The 13,524-nt window shown below is 44.7% G+C and overlaps 1 protein-coding gene across 7 annotated transcripts in view, besides 9 other annotated features; it reads right to left on the bottom strand.

Annotated features, from left to right (window-relative positions):
• The window catches only part of FNDC3B (fibronectin type III domain containing 3B), a 362,092-nt gene extending 360,544 nt beyond the window's left edge, over positions 1 to 1,548 (bottom strand). For 4 of the 7 annotated variants that reach the window (XM_024453717.2, XM_047448756.1, NM_001135095.2 and 1 more), the window contains exon 1: positions 502 to 595. The gene's annotated coding sequence lies outside the window, so the exon portion shown is untranslated. Of the gene's footprint in view, positions 1 to 501; positions 596 to 1,354 lie in introns of those variants that run through there. The other 3 variants (NM_022763.4, XM_017007062.2, XM_017007064.3) reach the window with 1 other exon arrangement.
• Positions 196 to 565: a silencer, noted in NCBI's record as "silent region_14898". NCBI's record gives its function as "represses an Ori minimal core promoter by ATAC-STARR-seq in GM12878 lymphoblastoid cells {active_cell/tissue: GM12878}" and the evidence as "EXISTENCE:reporter gene assay evidence [ECO:0000049][PMID:35858748]".
• Positions 196 to 1,060: a biological region, named in NCBI's record as "NANOG-H3K27ac-H3K4me1 hESC enhancer GRCh37_chr3:171757856-171758522".
• Positions 394 to 1,060: an enhancer, noted in NCBI's record as "NANOG-H3K27ac-H3K4me1 hESC enhancer chr3:171757856-171758522 (GRCh37/hg19 assembly coordinates)". NCBI's record gives its function as "activates a minimal SCP1, AML or CMV promoter by ChIP-STARR-seq in naive H9 embryonic stem cells {active_cell/tissue: H9 hESC(naive)}" and the evidence as "EXISTENCE:reporter gene assay evidence [ECO:0000049][PMID:30033119]".
• Positions 626 to 875: a silencer, noted in NCBI's record as "silent region_14897". NCBI's record gives its function as "represses an Ori minimal core promoter by ATAC-STARR-seq in GM12878 lymphoblastoid cells {active_cell/tissue: GM12878}" and the evidence as "EXISTENCE:reporter gene assay evidence [ECO:0000049][PMID:35858748]".
• Positions 1,056 to 1,155: a silencer, noted in NCBI's record as "silent region_14896". NCBI's record gives its function as "represses an Ori minimal core promoter by ATAC-STARR-seq in GM12878 lymphoblastoid cells {active_cell/tissue: GM12878}" and the evidence as "EXISTENCE:reporter gene assay evidence [ECO:0000049][PMID:35858748]".
• Positions 1,056 to 1,728: a biological region, named in NCBI's record as "NANOG-H3K27ac-H3K4me1 hESC enhancer GRCh37_chr3:171757188-171757855".
• Positions 1,061 to 1,728: an enhancer, noted in NCBI's record as "NANOG-H3K27ac-H3K4me1 hESC enhancer chr3:171757188-171757855 (GRCh37/hg19 assembly coordinates)". NCBI's record gives its function as "activates a minimal SCP1, AML or CMV promoter by ChIP-STARR-seq in naive H9 embryonic stem cells {active_cell/tissue: H9 hESC(naive)}" and the evidence as "EXISTENCE:reporter gene assay evidence [ECO:0000049][PMID:30033119]".
• Positions 1,296 to 1,475: a silencer, noted in NCBI's record as "silent region_14895". NCBI's record gives its function as "represses an Ori minimal core promoter by ATAC-STARR-seq in GM12878 lymphoblastoid cells {active_cell/tissue: GM12878}" and the evidence as "EXISTENCE:reporter gene assay evidence [ECO:0000049][PMID:35858748]".
• Positions 4,792 to 4,851: an enhancer, noted in NCBI's record as "active region_20816". NCBI's record gives its function as "activates an Ori minimal core promoter by ATAC-STARR-seq in GM12878 lymphoblastoid cells {active_cell/tissue: GM12878}" and the evidence as "EXISTENCE:reporter gene assay evidence [ECO:0000049][PMID:35858748]".

Here is a 13,524-nt window from a genome sequence, read left to right as displayed (position 1 = left end):
GGCCCCAGCGTTGGCCCATTGCGGCCAAATTCTAAATTTTGTTTAAATAAAATGCTGGGTTGAGGAGAAAAGAAAACAAAAAGTTATAACTTTTAAGGAAGTCTGCAAACGGCACTGTCTGGATAAAATGCCATTGCTTCCCTTCGTCTGGGATGGCAGGGTGGGAGCTGAGATTCCAAAAGCTCCAACTCCGACCGCGCACTCCTGGAAGCCTCCCCGCCAAAGGCGCCGCCGGGCGGCGCAGCCCAGTCTCCCGAGACGGCGGGCCCGGGTCCTCCGGTTCCCACGGGACGCCGGGACCCGGACCTCTGGGAAAGTTCGCGGGCACAGCCCGAGGCCCCACTTTCTGCCGAGAGTGACAGGCCCTTCCCACGCCTGCCGGCCCCAGCCCAGCCGCGGGCACCAGACGGTCCGCGCGGCCCCTCCTGGCCGCCTCGGGGCGCAGATTCCGCCCGCCCGCCCTATCCCCGGCCGAGGCGCCCCTCGGGGTGACCGACTGACCGGAGCTCCGCTGGCCCACACACCGGGTCGCCCGCTCCTTCCCGCCGCGCCCCGCTCCCCCGCCCGAGCTTCCAGCCGCCGGCTCGCCAAGTCCGGCCGCGGCCGCCGGTTACCGCCCCCAGCCCGGGGGGAGCCCGGGGGGCAGGACGGGGAGGAGGACGTGGCGTGCTCGGAGGTGGCCAGCAGCGGGGCGGGGAGTGTCCCGGAGAGGCCCAGCCGGGGACGGGGGGGCCAGGCCGGCGCGGGCTCGGGACCCTCCCCGCGAGCATCCCCGGGTTCGAGGCCCCCGACCGCCCCCGCCGGCGCGGAGAGGCGGCCCCAACTTCCAGCCCCACTTCGCACTCCCGCCCTCTTCCCTCCACCATATGGAAATCTACAGCCTCAGAAAGTGACACGTCGAAGATTCCTCGGCCTCGCCGCCCGCCCTCCCCCTCCTGGGCAGCGTTCCTGCCGCGGAGATTCCGGGAGGGGGAGCGGATTCCTCGGACAAAATCTGCTGGGAAGGCTGGGGGTGGGGGGAGGCCGCGAGCCACTGCCCAATTTTTTTTAAGAGGAATCTACCCGTTTCTTTCACTCCTCCAAACCCTGAGGCAGGGGGCACAGGCGGGGGACCCCAGCCCAGCAAGGCGGGGGCCGCCCCCTCCCGGGTCCCGTGTTCCCGGGGTGCCCAGGCGAGCACGGGGCGCCCCAGCACTCCGGCGCCAAGTTTTTGCCGGGAAGCCCAGGGCGCTCCCGGGACAGGGACGCACTTTGGCGGACTCGGCGTCAGGCCGGGGCTTTCCAGTGCACCGGGACCCGGCGATCGCGCTCGGGGTCCCGGTCTCCTCTAGTCCCCGGCTCTTGCACGCCTTACCTTCCCTAGGGCTGAAACGCGGGGCTCTGGGCGCGCCACACACCGGGTCGCCCACGCCTTCCCAGCCGGCAGCCTGGAGGATCCCTGCCGCCCCCTTCGCTGCTCCCGCCGCCGCCGCTCTCCTCCTCCAGCCGCCGCCGCCGCCGCTCAAATAACTACCAGGAGGGTTTGATGGGGGATTCCGCCATGTCAATGATGTCGGGACCACATGGGGATTTGGGGCCCGCCCATTACCGTAAACCGCCGAATATACCGGCCGCCACAATCGCAGACTCGCAGAAGCTGTTGTCCCCCGGCCCTGCCTAGCTAAGCAGAAACTCCTTTTGGTTCAGCCAGACTAAAGAAACCTGAGGCTTAGGGAACTAACAACTCCTGAATGGCGAGGGCTGCGCGTTCTGCAGATCGCCAAAGTAATATAAAGGCAATGTTTACTCAGTGATAATTAAGCCTAAAACTGACTTTTTTTCATTTACACATATATTTCGCTTTTTGTTGTTGTTAACCCCCACAGCAACCTTGTGAGCTATATTACTCCCACATTTCCCACAGCATTTTATTCATACAACTAACATAGTATGAGCAATTTTTATTATACTTAAGTTAAAATCTCTCTTTCCTCTTTCTTTTTGTTTTTTGTTTTTTGTTGTTGTTGTTGTTTGTTTTGGGGACTGCAGGCACGGGGCAGGCATGAGCCACCGCACCCTTTTTTTTTTTTTTTTTTTTTCCTTTTTTGGAAGAGAGGGGGTCTCAATAGGTTGCCCAGGCTGGTCTGGAACTCTGTCGCTCAAGTGATTCTCCCGCCTTGGCCTCCCAAAGTGTTGAGATTACAGGCGTGAGCCAACTCACCCAGCCTTATTTCACAATGCGTTTCTCAGGGACAAAGACTGTTTCTTACTTTTATCTTTATATCCGTAAAATATAGCACAGTGCAAGGACCACAATAGGACTCATTAAATAACTGTTGAGTTCATATTAAGTCAAATGTAATGTATTTCTGTTGTACAGGCTCTAAGAGGTTAACAGACTGCATCCCATGCCACCCCTCAGATTATTCAGGAGACAAGAGAGCAAAAGTTAGCCTAGAGAAGCCCCTTCCATCCATAGCTGTCCAGGTATTCTGAATAGCTACATTCAGCCTCAACTATTAAGCTACAAAGGAGCATTCAGGGAGTCACTAGAGACAATGTATTACTTTTGTTAACCTAAAAAATAATAATAGCAGTACATAATACTCTGTTAAAGTCTAAAGAACACTAAGAAATAGCTCCTTCCTTCCCTTGTTCATTTGCCATTCTTTTGGGGAGATTTTAGCCTTTTTTTTTTTTTTTTGGAGGCAATGGTGAGTCCAGAGAAATGGGGACCTCTCTCCTAAATGGCTTATTTACTGTGGAGCTCCTCAAAGGGGAACTTGAAGCCATCTTTCTATAACATAACTCCAATTCTAGGTCATAGTCCTGCATGAGAAGCCGGGGCGGGGGGTAGGCAGTAGTTCCTTAGTGCCAATAGGGTACAATCCAATAGATCCCATTTGAGTCCAAATGCCTTCTCTGGCTCCAGACTCTTTGGCTTCCTCAGGTGCCATGCCTTCAGCCCAGCTGATCACTCATGGCTCCAGAAGGTACCTGTGTCCCTTTGTACGTGCCTTCCCTCTGAAACATACTTCTTCTTCCCTATTTAAGATCATTTACTCATCCTTGATCTCCGGCTAAAACCACTCCCTCCTTTCCTCCCTACAGTCTCATACCTCTTTTCCCCACAATCTTATAATCCTTGTCAGTTCTCACATTGCTCTGAAGTTAGTCTTTTTTTTTTTTTTTTTTTTCTGAGGCTAGAGTGCAGTAGCATGATCGTAGCTCACTGCGTCTTCAAGCTCCTAGGCTCAAGCGAGTCTCCCACCTCAGCCTCCCAAGTAGCTGGGACTACTAGTGTGTGCCATCACGCCTGGCTAATTTTTTTTTAATGTTTCTTTTTTTTTTTTCATTTTTGTTGCCCAGGCTGGTCTCAGACTCCTGAGCTCAAGCAATCCTCCTGCCCCAGCTCCCAAAGTGCTGGGGTTATAGGCATGAGCCACTGTGCCCAGCCTGAAGTTAGTTATACTTTATCTCTTCCACTTGACTGAGTTTTGTTCATGTTTGTATCCCTAGTATCAACCTAGAATTCTGCTTTGAATATAAGACCCCTTTGTGTTTGGTGAATGAATTAATTGTAAAGTATGTGGAAGAATCTGAATGACTAGGTAAGTGAGCAAACTTCAGAATGTGAAAGGTCAAATTCAGGTTGAAGGACAAGCTTGGCAAAGGAGGTAAAAGTAGGCAAGGGAAGTTTGGAGGACAAAGTTATTTATTCCTGTTTCTTCCACTAGACTGAATTTTTTCTTATTAAGAAGAAAAAGTTTCAATTTTCATATAATGCTTTATAATTTCACATGCATGTTCATATATATGATCTCAGTGTTTCATTCATCTTCTTTGCCCTAACACCTAACACCAGTTTTGGCACAGAAAAAAAGCCCATTAAATGTTTGCAAAATGAGAGGAAGTATGGTACACTGGAGAGAGCATAGAACATAATGAGAGAAAAGGAGTGATGTTGGGCATAAAGTTCTCTGAACCTGAATTTTCTTATTTGTTAAATTGTGATCTTTAATAAACCTTCTGGTCAAGGTTGTTGTGAGGATTAAAAAACTCAAGCACCTGGTACTCAGTAAATAAATATTGGTTACTCCTTGAATGAATGAATGAATGAATGAATGAGTAAATGAATTAATAAAGATATATTTCTTAAAAGGATTAATAGGACAGAATTGGAAGCTTCAGAGAAAAAGGTGGAATTTGTGATAGAGGGCTCTCACCTATACTTTGAGGGATTTAGATTTAATACAGTGAGAACACTGTGGGATTATTGAGGCATGAAGTAATTAAAATAGGTTTCAAGGTTATCTTAGCAGCAGGATATAGAACAAGGCTCATGTCAGAGATGCATGCCCTGAACCTACTTTGGAAATGATAAGACTTACACCAGAGTCATGGTTCTGGGAATAGGAAGAAGGACCTCAACCTAAGGCAATGAGTATGACTATCTGGTGTTGACAACCTGCATAATCTGCTGCTCTAGGTCCCAAATTATGAAACTATAGTCCTGGCTAAAACTTTGCTCCAAAAGCACCTTAAGATTTGCTCAAATACAAAAGTTAACATCCAAATGAAGATGCCTAGAAGTTAAGGCCTATAACAAAATATAGAGACTCTTAAACCCTTCTACCACCTATGCAATGTAGGCTGAGTCCAAATTTTAAAAAGATTCTTAGTCATACTTCTTCATCTCAAATAATTTATATCAAAAAATGCAACAGTAGTACACAGGAAAGAATGAAAGTATTGAAGCTAGCATTGAAAAGGTCTCAAACAATTCAACTTTTCTGAACACTTCTGTAGTCTAAAATGTTTAAATTTGAAACTCTCTCTCAAAGATCACTATGACTAGTAACACGTAATATCTACAAGACCCAGCTGCATTCTCAGTTTCAATGTCCTTCTTCTCCCTATAGCTCGAGTTGCTAGGTTCCCAAGGCAGGCTCAGTTCTGCCCCTACTCTTAAAAACTGCTCTTGACCACCAGGCATGGTGGCTCATGCCTGTAATCTCAGCACTTTGGGAGGCTGAGGCAGGCGGATCACCTGAGGTCAGGAGTTCGAGATTAGCCTGGCCAGCATGGTGAAACACAATCTCTACTTAAAAAAAAAAAAAAATACAAAAATTAGCCTGGTATGATGGCAGACACCTGTAATCCCAGCTATTTGGGAGGCTGAGGCAGGAGAATCATTTGAGCCCAGGAGGCAGAGGTTGCAGTGAGCTGAGATGGCACCATTGCACTCCAGCCTGGGCAACAAGAGCAAACTTCCATCTCAAAAATAATAATAATAATAATAATACTCTTGACCCTAAATAGAAGGCATTAACTCTTTGCATCTACTACTTATTCTAATGTCCTGAGCCATATCTGACACCAGCTTCAATATGAACACTGACCAAAAGCCAATTCATCTTGTTTTAAAAGCAACACTGCCACTTCAGTGAAGCACATTTCTCCAACAACTTCACCAGTCACATCTGTGGTTTTGCCGCCTTTTCTATTGTTCAAGGCAAGATAAGCAAATTTTAGCTCAATGTTTTATTTAAAGAAAAACACATTTTAAACAAAGAGATCTGTCCCACAGTTACCAGAACTATTCAGGTAGAAGCTGAATGATTGACAGGGCTCTTAAAAATCACAGGTTGATAGACTCCCACTGTCCCTCCCAAAGCAGAAATCTTGGCTCCCATGTCAATTACAACTAAGGACCCAGCCTCAGTCTGAACAGCACCAGGGAAAGGAAAACCTATTCCTGTGGAGACAGCTTATTATCAACAACTGTAGTTCTAACCCAGGTCTTCTGAAACTGCCTCCTTACAACTTTCTCCCACTGGTTTTATTTCTGCCCTCTGGAGGCAGACAAAATAACAACACTCACCTTCCACATGACCTCCCTTCCAATGAACTGAACATGCCTGGCATTTGCTCCCTAGAGATTCTCTTTTCCTGAATAAACGTCCCTGACATGCCGAACTCGTCAAAGATCTCTCTTCATCCTTCTTTCCTACCACCTCTGAGGGCCTACCTGTTCAGCATCTCTGAAAGTTTGTGATATGGTTTGGATCTGTGTCCCCACCCAAATCTCATGTTGAAATGTAATCCCCAGTGCTGGAGGTGGGTCCTGGTAGGAGGTGATTGGCTCATGGGGGCGGAGTTCTCATGAATGGTTTAGCACCGTCCCCCCTTGGTACTGCATAGTGAGTGAATTCTCAGGAGATCTGGTTGCACCTTCCCCCTCTCTCTAGGTCCTGCTTCAGCCGTGTAGGACGCCTGCTCCTGCTTTACCTTCTGCCATGATTAAAAGCTCCCCGAGGCTTCCCCAGAAGCAGATGCCACTAGGCTTTCTGTACAGCCTGAGGAACTGTGAGCCAATTAAACCTCTTTTCTTTATAAATTACCCAGTCTCAGGCATTTCTTTATAGCAGTACGAGAACTGACTGATACAGTTGGGTATCCAGATTTCACTCATAATATTTCAGGCATGAAAAGACTACAGCTACAAAGAGTGTTATCTTTTCCTGCTTCAGTTTGGACAAAACGCTTCTACTATTACGGTTTAATATTTTGTTAAATTTCTTAGCAGCCTCCTCATTCTGTTAGCTCATGCTTCTTCTTCCATGAGAAGCTGGGCATAAATTAGATATGCAATTGATTTAATCTTAACTGACATTAATTAGTTAACTGGTTGAATATATAATTTTATTAAATTTTATTTGTAAGTTTCATTTTTACATCCCAGCCAACGAGTACTTTTTGGACATTGAGTCTATTATCAAGCAACCTTCCACAGTTTTGTGATATTGATGAGTATGAAGCATGCTTTCCATGTTGCCATTTAAGTCATTAACAAAAACATAAAACAAGACAAGGACAAAGACATATCACCAGTAATTTTTCTCTTGTGGCAAAGTTATTTAAAAAGCTATGAATCTGGGTGCGGTGGCTCATGCCTGTAATCCCAGCACTTTGGGAGGCCAAGGTGCGTGGATCACCTGAGGCCAGGAGTTCGAGACCAGCCTGGCCAACATGGTGAAACTCCATCTCTACTAAAAAATACAAAAATTAGCCGGGCATGGTGGCGGGCGCCTGTAATCCCAGCTACTGGGGCGGCTGAGGCAGGAGAATCACTTGAACCCAGGAGGCAGAGGTTGTAGTGAGCCAAGATGGCACCACTGCACTCCAGCCTGGGCGACAGAGCGAGACTGCATCTCAAAAAAAAAAAAAAAAAAAAAAAAAAATCTGTCTATCACACTGAATTACCTTAAGCCGTACCACCGCAGGGCAGGATTGGATCTTACTTTCCTCACAGTCATTGTCACCACTCTTGCCCACTGCTATAGTTTGGATGTTTGTCCCCCAAACCTCACATTGAAATTTGATCACCAATGTTGGAGATGGGTCCTAATGGGAGGTGTTTGTGTCATGGAGACAGATCCCTCATGAATGGCTTGGTGTCCTCCTCGAATAATGAGCAAGTTCTTACTCTATTAGTTCCTATAGGAGCTGGTTGTTAAGAAGAGCCTGGCACTTCCCCCGTCTCTCTCTTGCTTCCTCTCTTGCCATGTGATCTCTGTACCTCTGCACACACCAACTCCTCTTAGCCTTTGGTCATGAGTAGAAGCAGCCTGAGCCCCTTGCCAGATGCATATGGTAGTGCAACATTTTTTGTATAGCCTGAAGAACTATGAGCCAAATAAACCTCTCTTCTTAATAAATTATCCAGCCTCAAGTATTCCTTTATAGTGACACAAATGGACCAAGACACACACCCTCTTACCTGATTTATTCCTGCTATGGTTCGAAGGTCTCCCCCAAGCTTCATGTGTTGGAAACTTAATCCCAAGTGCAACAGTGTTGAGAGGTGGAACTTTTAAGAGGTGATTAGGTCATGAGGTCTTTGCTCTCATGAATAGATCAGTATCATCTATTTTATCTATCTATCTATCTATCTATCTATCTATCTATCTGAGTGGGTTCATTATCACAAACCCACTCATTAGATAGTTCAGTGAGTTCAGCCCTCTCTTGCTATTTCAAGGGCTCTCTCACTCTTCTGCCTTCTGCCAGGGATGGTGCAGCAAGAAGGCCCTCACCAGGTGTGGCCCCTCAGTCTTGGACTTCCCAGCCTCCAAAACTGTGAGTCAAATAAATTCCTGTTTATTATAAATTACCCAGTCTGTGGTATTCTGTTGTAGCAGCACAAAACAAACCAGGACAATTTTTTTGGGTCACTTTCTTTTCCTAAAAGGTCAAGACCTCTGAATGAGCCTGTAATCCCAGAACTTTGGGAGGCTGAGGTGGGTGGATCACCTGAGATCAGGAGTTGGAGACCAGTCTGGCCAACATGGCGAAACCTTGTCTCTACCAAAAATACAAAAATTAGCCAGGCGTGGTGGCACGCACCTGTAGTCCCAGCTACTCAGGAGGCTGAAGTGGGAGAATCGCTTGAACCCAGGAGGCAGAGGTTTCAGTGAGCCAAGATCACGCCACTGCACTCCAGCCTGGATGAGAGAGTGAGACTCCCTCTCAAAAAAATAAAAAATAAAAATAAAAAAATGAATGATATGTAGGTGTCTTCACAGCAGGCATGCTAAATACTATCATCCTCAAACAACTTCAGAATATGCCCTAGATAAAAATATGTGTGTAGATAGTCATACATACATGTGTCTGTCTTAGTCAATTTGGGCTTCTGTAACGGAATACCATAGACTGGGCAGTTTAAATGATAGAAATTTATTTCTAACCATCTGGAGCCTGTGAAGTCCAAGATCAAAGCACCAGCAGATCTCTTGCAAGATGAGAGCCTGACTCCTGGTTTGCAGATGGCCATCTTCTGATTGTATCCTCACAAGACATAGAGCAGAGACAGAGAAAGAAGGCTTTCTCATGTGTTTTTTACTGAGGCCACTAATCCCATGCATGAGGGCTCCACCCTCATGATCTAATTACTTCCCAAAGGCCCCACCTTCTAATATGATCACTGCTTCCACTCATGCTGGGAGAGAAAAGGGAGGTTAGGATTTCAACATACGAATTTTAACAAAACAAACATTCCGTCCATAGCAGTGTTTCTTTCACAGAAAAATGAAGCCAAAAAAGTTTTTAGCTCGGGCAGTATGGCTCAGATACAAGCCATTTTGGTCAAGGAAAGATTCTGAGATTTGACCAGAAAGTAATAAGTTGAAAACAGAGTAAACTTAACTGCAGAGACAACTGGGCCTATTCTGGTTTGTAAAGGGTAGGATGTTATATTTTAAATAGTTTCTCACCATTTGTATAGTTGCCACAATATTAGTTCTAGTTCTTGAAAGCATACCCTTTGGAATTTCACATATAATCTGTGTGTCTCAGACCTCATTAGCCGGGGGTAAAATTTTGATCACATTAACATGAAAAATATCCTTTCTTTGACTCTGGCAGCTACCATCTTTTTAGGACTTCCCATTCTCTTTGTACTCTCTCCAGTTCTTTCTATAAGTTTCCTGTGTGTTTATGACCAAGTTTTTTTTGACCTGCAGAAGCCTAAGAAGCTGTGTAAAGTAATCTACTAATCCAGCCATGGGGACTCTATAGCACCGCCCCACAAGGCCAGCACCACACTCAGACAGACTTACTTCTCCCTGTCTCTGTGATAAACTCCGTTATACTGTAACACATTAGAAAACCCTTGGCTCGGCCAGGCATGGTGGCTCATGCCTGTAATCCTAGCACTTTGGGAGGCCGAGGCAGGTGGATCACGAGGTCAAGAGATCGAGACCATCCTGGCCAACATGGTGAAATCTTGTCTCTACTAAAAATAGAAAAATTAGCTGGGTGTGGTAGCACGCACCTGTAGTCCCAGCTACTTGGGAGGCTGAGGCAGGAGAATGGTGTGAACCTGGGAGGCAGAGCTTGCAGTGAGCCGAGATTGTGTCACTGCACTCCAGCCTGGCAACAAAGCGAGACTGTCTCAGAAAGAAAGAGAGAGAGAGCGAGGAAAGAAGGAAAGAAAAGAAAGAAAGAAAGAAAGAAAGAAAGAAAGAAAGAAAGAAAGAAAGAAAGAAAGAAAGAAAGAAAGAAAAGAAAAGAAAAGAAAAGAAAAGAAAAGAAAAGAAAACAAAAGGAAAGAAAAGAAAAGAAAAGAGAAAACCGTGGGCTCCCAATATCTCATGGTCTTTAAATAGTTGTACAAATATTTATTGAGCACCTACCCTATGCCAGACACTAATTTGTGGATATACAGTTGATCCTTGAACAATTAGGGGATCAAGAGTGCCAATCCCTGCAAAGTCAAAAATCTGAGTATAAGTTTTGACTCCCCCAAAGTGAGCTACTACTACCCTACTGTTGACTGGAAACCTTGTGAATAACATAAATGGTTGATTAACACATATTTTGTATGTTACATGTATTATATACTGTATTCTTACAATAAGGAAGCTAGAGAAAAGGACATGTTATTAAGAAAATCATAAAGAAGGAAAAATACATCTACAGTATTATTCTGTGTTTATCCATCCCATAAGTTGATGTCATCTGTTCACAGGATGAAATGGCAGGCAACCATACCTGCAGACCTCAATCTATGGTACATACTGAGCAATACAACTTTTTCTTGTAATATCATGATTTTTCTCTGCTTCTTGGGAGCACTTCCAGCATTGCTAGTGGCACTTTGCATGGGTTCCACAGTGTTATTCAAGGTTTAGAGTATTAGAGCAAACACGATGAAAAGCACGTGAGAACCACAAGAGATCACTTTTTGCTGCAATTTGCAATTTACTGGAGAGATGAACTGTCCACATGGAGATTATTAGCATCACATGACATTTTAAGTGGATACTTCCTACACTTGAGCTCACCATTATAGCAATAGGAGGAGGCTATGAAATTATTACAGTTTAATACAGTATGTACTGTAGTTCATTTACTGCAGTTGTGGTTTAATACTGTACCTTTATGTTTGTTTGCATTTCTCTCAACTGTGAATTGCACCACATATGATCTGTGTGTTTTGTGCATGTTTTGATAAATTTTAACTTTTTGTCTTAGTCCATTCTGTGTTGCTATAAAGCACCACCTGAGACTGGGTGCTTTATAAAGAAAAAAGGTCTATTTGGTTCACAATTCTGCTGCCTAACAGGCATCTGCTGAGGGCCTCAGGTTGCTTCCACTCATGCTGGCAGACAAAGGGGAGCTGACCTGTGCAGAGATCACATGGTGAAAGAGGAAGCAAGAGAAGGAAGGAGGGAAGGGGGAGGACTGAGGCTCTTTTTAATTATTTATCTTTTTGGAGATAGGGACTCACTCGGTCACCCAGGCTGGAGTGCAGTGGCACAATCATGGCTCACTGCAGCCTCTACCTCCTACGCTCAAGCAATCCTCCCACCTCAGCTTCCCTAGTAGCTTGGGACTACAGGCATGCAACCCATGCTGGCTATTTTTTCTATTTTTTGGTAGAGATGGGGTTTTGCTATGTTACTCAGGCTGGTCTTAAGCCCCTGGCCTCAAGTGATCCTCTTGCCTCAGCCTCCCAAACTGCTAGGATTACAGGTATGAGTCACCATACCCAGCCTTAGGATCTTTTTAACAACTAGGTCTAGGACAGGCACAGTGGCTCACACTTGTAATCCCAGCACTTTGGGAGGCCAAGGCAGGTGAATCACTGGAGTTCAGGAGTTCGAGAGCAGCCTGGCCAACATGATGAAACTCTGTCTCTACTAAAAATATAAAAATTAGCCAGGTGTGGTGGCGGGTGCCTGTAATCCCAGCTACTCGAGAGGCTGAGGCAGGAGAATTGCTTGAGCCCAGGAGGCGGCGGTTGCAGTAAGCTGAGATCTCTGTACTCCAGCCTGGGTGACAGAGCAAGACTCCATCTCAAAACAAAACAAAACAACAACAACAAAACCCAGGTCTCATGGGAACTAACAGAGTGAAAACTCACTCACTATAGCCCTATACCCAGGGAAGGCATTAATCTATTCATGAGTTATCTGCCCCAAGACCCAAATATCTCCTATCAGATCCCATCTCCAACATTGGTAATTAAATTTCAACGTGAAGTTTGGAGGGGTCAAACATCTAAGCTATAGCACTTCTTAAAATGAATTTGTATTTTATTGTATCAAATGATAAAACAGACCATATATATTTTATGCATGTGTGACATACTTAACTTTTGCTTAATTTTTTGATATTCCTAGGCTTCCACAGCTTATGCATATTTTCCAGATTGTCGCAAATTTCCAAAAACTTTTCCAATATATTTATTGAAAAAAATGCACAGAAGTCCATCTGTGCAGTGCAAAACTGCCGTGTTTTCAGCGGTCAGCTGTATACGTATTAGGCCCTAGAAGCTGCAAATACTTATAATAATGGTTAAATCTTCATAAAAATCATTTAAAATTGCAATGGTCATTATGTGGAACATTCCAGATGAACAACATTGAATCATCTAAGGATATTTTAAATTGTTTTATTGCCTCCTTTAAAAGGCTCTTTAAAAAAGACCAAACAAAGAGCTTAAATGGCTAATTGATATGAATTAAATATACCAACTTTTTCACTTAGTTACTATCCCATCCCAAAGACAAAAATACAGCTAAATAAAATGTTTATAAAAGTTAGACTCCCAGGTCAAGCAGGCCTAGAAAATGCTTTATTTGCCCTATATGTCAGTGAACTCTGCCCTAAAGTCAATAATCTCATTTAAAAATTAGTTGAAAAAACTGCCTATTAAACTAAATCAGGCTCCAAAATATAGCTTTCTGAAATTTAGCCAGCTATTTTGAAACTTTGTTTGTTTGTTTGTTTTTTGAGACGGAGTCTCACTCTGTCACCCAGGCTGGTGTGCAGTGGCACAATCTTGGCCCACTGCAACCTCCGCCTCGTGGGTTCAAGTGATTCTCCCGCCTCAGCCTCCTGAGTAGCTGGGATTACAGGCATGTGCCACCACGCCCAGCTAATTTTTGTATTTTTAGTAGAGACGGGTTTCACTGTATTGGCCAGGCTGGTCTTGATCTCCTGACCTCAGGTTATCCACCTGCCTCAGACTCCCAAAGTGTTGGGATTATAGGCATGAGCCGCAGTGCCCAGCCTGAAACTTTTTGTAAAATTTACATGTATACAGGAAATCTCTGTATGTAAGAGTGTCTCCCTCTTTGTATGTAAGTCACTAGAAATTTTAAGGTGCTTTTCCTGGCCATCTTTTCTTACCTGGAACTTTACCTCTGCCTTCCTTGTTTCTGCAAATAATAATGTTTAGATCTAAGCTCTGTGTCTTTGAGATGTAAATTTTCTACCTTGTTTCATCTAGGAGTCATAACTTTGGAAGTGCCAATTTAGGGTTGCCTAGCTAACAACTAGTGACAGGATCGAAGACCTGAAAGGGACGAGAAAAACTACGTGAAAACTGGCAAATGAAGAATTTTGCGTGTAATCAATTTGGCAAAAAGCTAGATCTCCTTTTGTCTGTTCTGTAAGTCTGTATGTCTGTGTGTCTATATGTGTTACGTGTGTGTGATAGTTCTCTATCAAAATGTATGAAAGAGTTCTAAT

This window comes from Homo sapiens, chromosome 3 (genome assembly GCF_000001405.40).
Source record: "Homo sapiens chromosome 3, GRCh38.p14 Primary Assembly".
Lineage (NCBI taxonomy): Eukaryota > Metazoa > Chordata > Mammalia > Primates > Hominidae > Homo > Homo sapiens.
Note: the sequence above shows the minus strand (reverse complement) of the source record. Positions and strands in the feature narration are given on the sequence as shown.